The 6708-nt window shown below is 40.1% G+C and overlaps 1 long non-coding RNA gene across 1 annotated transcript in view; it reads left to right on the forward strand.

Moving 5' to 3' along the window:
* Window positions 1-5939, forward strand: part of MAP4K3-DT (MAP4K3 divergent transcript) — a 163929-nt gene extending 157990 nt beyond the window's left edge. The window contains exon 6 of the long non-coding RNA NR_037875.1: window positions 3961-5939. This is a non-coding gene — a long non-coding RNA (MAP4K3 divergent transcript). The remainder of the gene's footprint in view (window positions 1-3960) is intronic.
* The last annotated feature ends 769 nt before the right edge of the window (window positions 5940-6708 follow it).

The raw sequence follows: 6708 nt of genomic DNA on the forward strand, positions 1-6708 counted from the left end.
CTTTACTGCCTGGACACAGGAACCATGTGCTCTTTTTCCCCTCCCTCTGCCTTGGGAGAGCCCCCAGAACATGGCTACCCACGGGAAAGAGGTGGGAACTTCTCCCTTTGTCCTGCCCCTGCGGCCCTCATTCATTCCAATGGCCAAGTGAATGGACTTGCAGTTAGCTCTGCACGCCCATTGATCATAGGCATTCCGGAGCTCTTAGGTCCCAAGGTAGAGATTTGGAATGGGAGCAGAGGTCCCACTTGTCCTAATGTTTAATCTTTTATTCTGTAATCTAGCTTATACTAGTGAACGCTGAATTTGGAGGCTTGTAGGATGTTTGCTGGCCTAGTAATAAACTGACTTTTGGTTCCCACTGGGCTGGTGGATTTCCGTGTTTTCCTGTTTGACCTAGAAGGGAGGAGCTTTGATAACTAGGTCCCAAGCCTCTTACATTATTGCTTTCTCTACAAGTCAGACTCATTGGCCCATCTTGATTCAGCCTCACTGATTGTAAAAAAAGAAAAGAAAAAGTGGTGGCATGTGAAATCATTAGAATGACTAGAATAGGAGGACGGGATCAACTATAGGTCATCTTGGGATGACGTCTTACTTACTTTTAGGAATGATCTTGGAACTTTATGTTGTAAATAACTGCCTGCTATAAGAAAAACGATGGGGAGAGCCTTAGTCTTGTTATGCAGCATTTCCAGTTACAGAGTTTAACAATGAGATGCTTATCAGAAGATACTGCTGGAGATCTTTTGCCAGCGGATGCTATCATCATAGTTACTGGGATTTTCATAGCTCAGGCTGGACCTTTGCTACACACAGCATTGTAACTCCATGCCTCCTGTACTTGGCTTTCCTAAACTCAGAACTGATTATGACACAACACTGCCAAAAAGCTTACCCTTTCCTACAGAAGCAAGTCCAGACCCTGTAGCACGGCAGAAAAGCATTCCCAGGCTGATATGACATTTCCCGCATTGCCACTTTTCTCCCACTACCGGACTCCCAGCTCCTGGGCACACTACATATTCCCAAATAACCTTTTAGTGATCACCCAAATATTCTCCTTCATATCTCCAAGACTTTGTTCATGCTGGTCCTTTTGTTTCTAATGCCCTAACTCTTGTCTTTCTGGCAAACATTTTCTTTTCTTTTTTTTGAGACAGAGTTTCGCTCTTGTTGCCCAGGCTGGAGTGCAATAGCACGATCTCAGCTCACCGCAAACTCCGCCTCCCGGATTCAAGCAATTCTCCTACCTCAGCCTCCCGAGTAGGTGGGATTACAGGCATGTGCCACCACACCTGGCTAAGTTTTGTATTTTTAGTAAAGATGGGGTTTCTCCATGCTGGTCAGGCTGGTCTTGAACTCCCAACCTCAGGTGATCCGCCCACCTCGGCCTCCCAAAGTGTTGGGAGTTACAGGCGTGAGCGACCGCGCCCAGCCAAACATTTTCTTTTGAGTATTAATTCAAGTGTCAGCTCTCCAAAGACTTGTTGAATTCCTCTCTCCCTGGCAGAATTCCTGTCCCCCTCTTCTATGTGCTCAGACTCCACCATCTCGCATGGTGATGACTAGGCCAGGTATCTATTTCTCCCATGGGCCTAAGAGCTCCCTGAGGGCAAACAGCTTGTCTCATTCATCTTTGCATCCCCTCTTCAATGTCACAGGCTTCTCCTTTTCCTCTATCACAGACCCTGGCACAGCAGGAGCATTCAATAAGTGATCGTTGCATAAATGAAGACCTCAGAATATGGTCCAGATATCTCATATTTAAGTTGTTTTAATTAGGTGGTGTGTGTGAATTGTCAGATAAAATAAAGCTTCAGGGTGGAAATGATCGAATTGAAATATTAGTGTAGGAACATACTGCGGCTCATAAAAAACAAATAGATACTGTAATTTAAGAGTGGAATATTAAATCTTTATCTCAAAGCACAAATCAGAATAGTGCCACAGCATGAAACACTTGTAATAGGCTAACATTAGCATTTAGTATTAGCACGCAGTAATCCTTCCTTCTTTGGGGTAGAGAATGCCTTTTTGGTATCAAACAACATCTCATCAACATATGCATTATGATTTACGGGAGGGATTTTTTTTCCTTGTTATGTAAAATTCATCGGATCAGCAAAATATCTCTGTTGGCAAGTACTTTGTGAGAGGCTGTGAGACTGATCACAGGGATAAAAAGTATTTATTTGGTACTTTCCCTAAATGAAATCTGGAGTGATAGCTCTTCTAACATTTTATTTCCTTCAATATACATTGGGCATAAATTCAGCTCTCAAAGTCTAAGGACCTTAAGGGGAAAACCACAAAGCTAGAAGCACTCTAGTGAAGGAGCACTGGGCTTGGAGTCAAGATTTTAGTCCCTATTTTGTTACTAACCAGCTATGTGATCCCGAGGAAGTCCCATAACCTCTGAGGGCCTCAGGTTTCCCCATCTTTATATCGAGTGTTGTACTATATGATCTCTGAAGGTGTTTCTCTGCTCCATCACTTTGATTCCACATGCTCGTCTGCAGAGACAGATTTACTGTGACTTTAATGAAGCTGAAGCTTCAGGGCTCTTTACTTGCTCAACTCCTTCCAAAAGCCCCGAGAGAGGCCCCATCAATGTCTTTTACATGGTCATATATTTTTGCAAAGTTTCAAAAGTAAGATATTTTTTACTGAAATTGGTTAAGACAGCTGTCTCTTTCCACTCCCTCCTCCTCATCACAAATCTTCAGGTGCAGGTAGGCCTGAAAGTGACAGCAGACATTTTTGGAATGAAGTTGGGGCTATGTCTATTTTGGAAGGCAAACTGAGTTGGGGATGTGTTGGTTTGGGGTTGGTGGGTATATATTTTGTAGTTTATAGCTACTCTGTATACAGTTACACTGTTGCTAGCCATCCTAGTATAGGTATGGCTTCCAGGAATATTTCTACTGCCCACTGTGCAGGCTTCCCCAGCACTGTGGCATGAAGGTGCAGGGTATTATGGGAGTAGGTACTTGTCCTACAATACCTGGCACTAGGAGCATGTGGGGAGTGGAAGAGAAACAAGATTTGAAATGGATAGAGCCAGAAGCAAATCTGTGGAAAATTCTTCCAATCATCAGACATTCAGTTCACAATGATGACTAAACAAAATGGAAATATTCTTCCGTAAGGAATATATGCAGTAATGCAACATACACAATTATAAACACACTCTTAATTGTTTATGGTAATTGCTCAGAATAGAATCCACCAGAATTCTTGTGTTTGTAAGGACAAAAATCTTTAATAATATGATGAACAGTCAGTCTGTGTGTGCTGTTTCAGGTTTTATGTATCTCAAAATGTCTTAGTATATTTGATGCATCTTCTCTTGACAAATTCTGGGAATTTTAGATGAAATGGCATGCAATTTTGACACAATGAAACAGAAAGTCCCGAAGAAACAAGGGTTCTAGCGACAGAACTCCTATGTTCATCAGTATGGCAGCAATAGATGTAGTATAAGGGTAATTTGATCCTACTATTATGTAGCTCAATATATTTGTATTATGTTATATTCAAATACAATATATTATATTTACAATTTTAAAATGTGTCTTTTTTCTTTTCTTTTCTTTTCTTTTTTTTTTCTTTGAGACATAGTCTCACTCTGTCACCCAGGCTGGAGTGCAGTGGTGCGATCTCGGCTTACTGTAATCTTTGCCGCCTGGGTTCAAGTGATTCTTCTGCCTCAGCCTCCTGTGTAGCTGGGATTACAGGTGCCTGCCACCATGCCTGGCTAATCTTTGTAGTTTTCACAGAGATGGGGTTTCACCATATTGGCCAGGCTGGTCTTGAACTCCTGACCTCATGATCCACCTGCCTCAGCCTCCCAAAGTGCTGGGATTATAGGCGAGAGCCACTGTGCCCGGCCTAAAATGTGTTTTACTTGTTCTTGTTTATGCCTTAATTTCAGATGAATTTTGTTTTTATTTTCAGAGTGGTTGATCATACTGTAAAACTCAAATGTGAAGGGAAGGCTGGAACCTACTGGAAACTGAAGATCTAACGAAAAGAAGGAACTTTTAGGAACTAGCAGAGACTTCAAAATGTTGAGAACTCTCTTTTTTCATAAGAGAAGATAAAAACTCTGATGGTCACACTCATAAAGACAAAAAACAAATAAAAAACAAACAAAAACTCAGAATCACAAGAGCAAAGAAAATGTAGGTAAAACAATAACAGAAGAGGTAAAGAAATTTATGTGAATTGGGACACTCTGGGGCACAGAACAGAAGAGGAGAAGAAACATGAAAGTAATGCTCTGCACAAGGATGTCTGACTGTCCTTGATTCCAAGGGCATTTAAAATTAGCCACTGGATGAGAACCATGAAATGCCATGACTCTTACAGCTCCCATGAAAGACATTGGATGGAACTTATCCTAACTGGACCAAATTCTAAAAAATTTTACATGATATTATAATGAGTTGAAAGTTGAAAAAAAAAAGCTCTTCTAGATTACCAAGAATAAAACACAAATTTCTAGCTGACTGAATTAATTCTCATCTCTCTATAGAAAGATCATAGAAATTTTTTTTATCATGCAAAGAAATAGCTAAAAATTTACAAAAATATAGACGTGCATTAGGCAGCTCATGAATAAATGCGTTTTTTCCTTTTTTCCTCCAGAATTTTGTGATGTTTATGGTACTTTTCGGCTTTTAAAATTTTGTATTTAATCAGGATTTATTACTTCATTGTAAGTAAATATTAAATTTGTACTCCATCTTTGTTTGTAATTTTGTATATTTTTCAGTAAAAAGGACTCCCCAGATTATGTAAGCTTTAGGCCCCACAAAATCTAGGCCTGTTGCTGTATCCTTTCTAGAGCAGTGTTTCTCAAACTTCAATGTGCATTTGAATCTCCTGGGGCTCCTGTTAAAATATAGCTTCTGAGATGATGCATTTCTAACAGACTCCCAGGGCTGACACTGCCCATCTGGGGACCACACTTTGAGAATCAAATATCTAGAACAATGGTTCTTACCTGGCTGTGCATTGGGATCATTTATAGTGCTTTTGGAAAATACATTGTGTCCAGGTCCCACCCAGTTCTCAGTAGGCTTGGAATGGGGTCCTACACTTTTTTTTTTTAACTCCACAGTTTGGGAAAGAAGCCTTTTCATATATTGTTGGTGGGAATACAAATTGATACAGCCATTTTTGAGCTTGATTTGGCAATATCTTCCTTGGAGAAATCAAAAGCCAGTTGGCAAGCCAGTCTGGAAAAGGCAGTTTACTGATTCCCACCCGAGGGTCACAAAGCAGGTATAGAAGGATGGGCTTTGGCTGAAATATATGATGGGTACAGGTATATTCTCTATAATCCAGTATTTCCACTGCTGAAAACGTATCCTAGTAACATTATACATATCAAGCCTACATATAAAGTTGGTCAATTCCATATTATTTGTAGTAGGGGAAAACTGAAAGCAGTCTACATGCCCATCAATAGATTATTCAAATTATGGAACAGTTTTCCAATGACAAAACAATAGCTAATCTTAGTTAAGCAATTATTATGTTATGTAAGGTAGACATTGTTCTACCTTATTTATAAGTATTAAGTTAGTTTTTATAACTATCATATTTCCATTTTACAAATGACATAATTTATATTATTGACATGGGAAGATGTCCAAGGATATAATAAGCAAAAAGCAAGTAGCAAAACATTATGTATATTATGCATTACCATTATAATATACTAAAAAGTAATGCACTTGATTCTGATGCACACTCCCCAGTAGGTAACAACTTATCTAGTGTAAAAATGAAAGAACATTCTGGGCCGGGCACGGTGGCTCATGCCTGTAATCCCAGCACTTTGGGAGGCCCAGGTGGGCGGATCACAAGGTCAGGAGATCGAGACCATCCTGGCTAACATGGTGAAACCCCGTCTCTACTAAAAATACAAAAAAAAAATTAGCTGGGCGTGGTGGCCGGCGCCTGTAGTCGCAGCTACTCGGGAGGCTGAGGCAGGAGAATGGCGTGAACCCGGGAGGCGGAGCTTTCAGTGAGCGGAGATAGCGCCATTGCACTCCAGCCTGGGCGACAGAGCGAGACTCTGCCTCAACAACAACAACAACAACAACAAAAAAAAAAAAAAAAAAAAAAAAAGAACATTCTGTTACCTCAAACACGCTGTTTTCATGCAATTTAGTTAACTGGTAGCACTTTCAGAAGAAGACAAAGTAAAAATGGTTAGGTCAATTTGGTGGCATAGAGTATTCTATCGATCAGTGGTCAAAAGAGTAGTCATTCTGAGTGATCTCTAACATTAGGGTTGATGGAAGAGATGACCCATAGATGTCCCTACATCTCATTTCTCTTAGGACACACACTTGGGAGAAATCGTCCAGTGCACTTTGTCCAGGCCTTTTACTTGTACCAACTACTTTGCTTTATGCTGTTTTCACTTTAGTGGTTCTGCCTTCTAGTCCACAGAAAAGTTTTTTCTTAACGTATTTTTTTCCCAACACTTTATTATGGGAATTTTCAAACATACAGAAAAGATAAAAGAAATTTACAGAGAATACTCGTGTCTCTATCAGCTAGATTCTACAGTTAACATTTTACTATAGTAGTTTTATTGCATATCTGTTTATCTCCCTGTGCATCCATGGATCCAATTCATCTTTAGGATGCATTTCAAAGCAAGTTGCTGACGTCAGTACACTTCCC

The sequence above is a fragment of the Homo sapiens genome, chromosome 2 (assembly GCF_000001405.40).
Source record: "Homo sapiens chromosome 2, GRCh38.p14 Primary Assembly".
NCBI classification, from domain to species: Eukaryota; Metazoa; Chordata; class Mammalia; order Primates; family Hominidae; genus Homo; species Homo sapiens.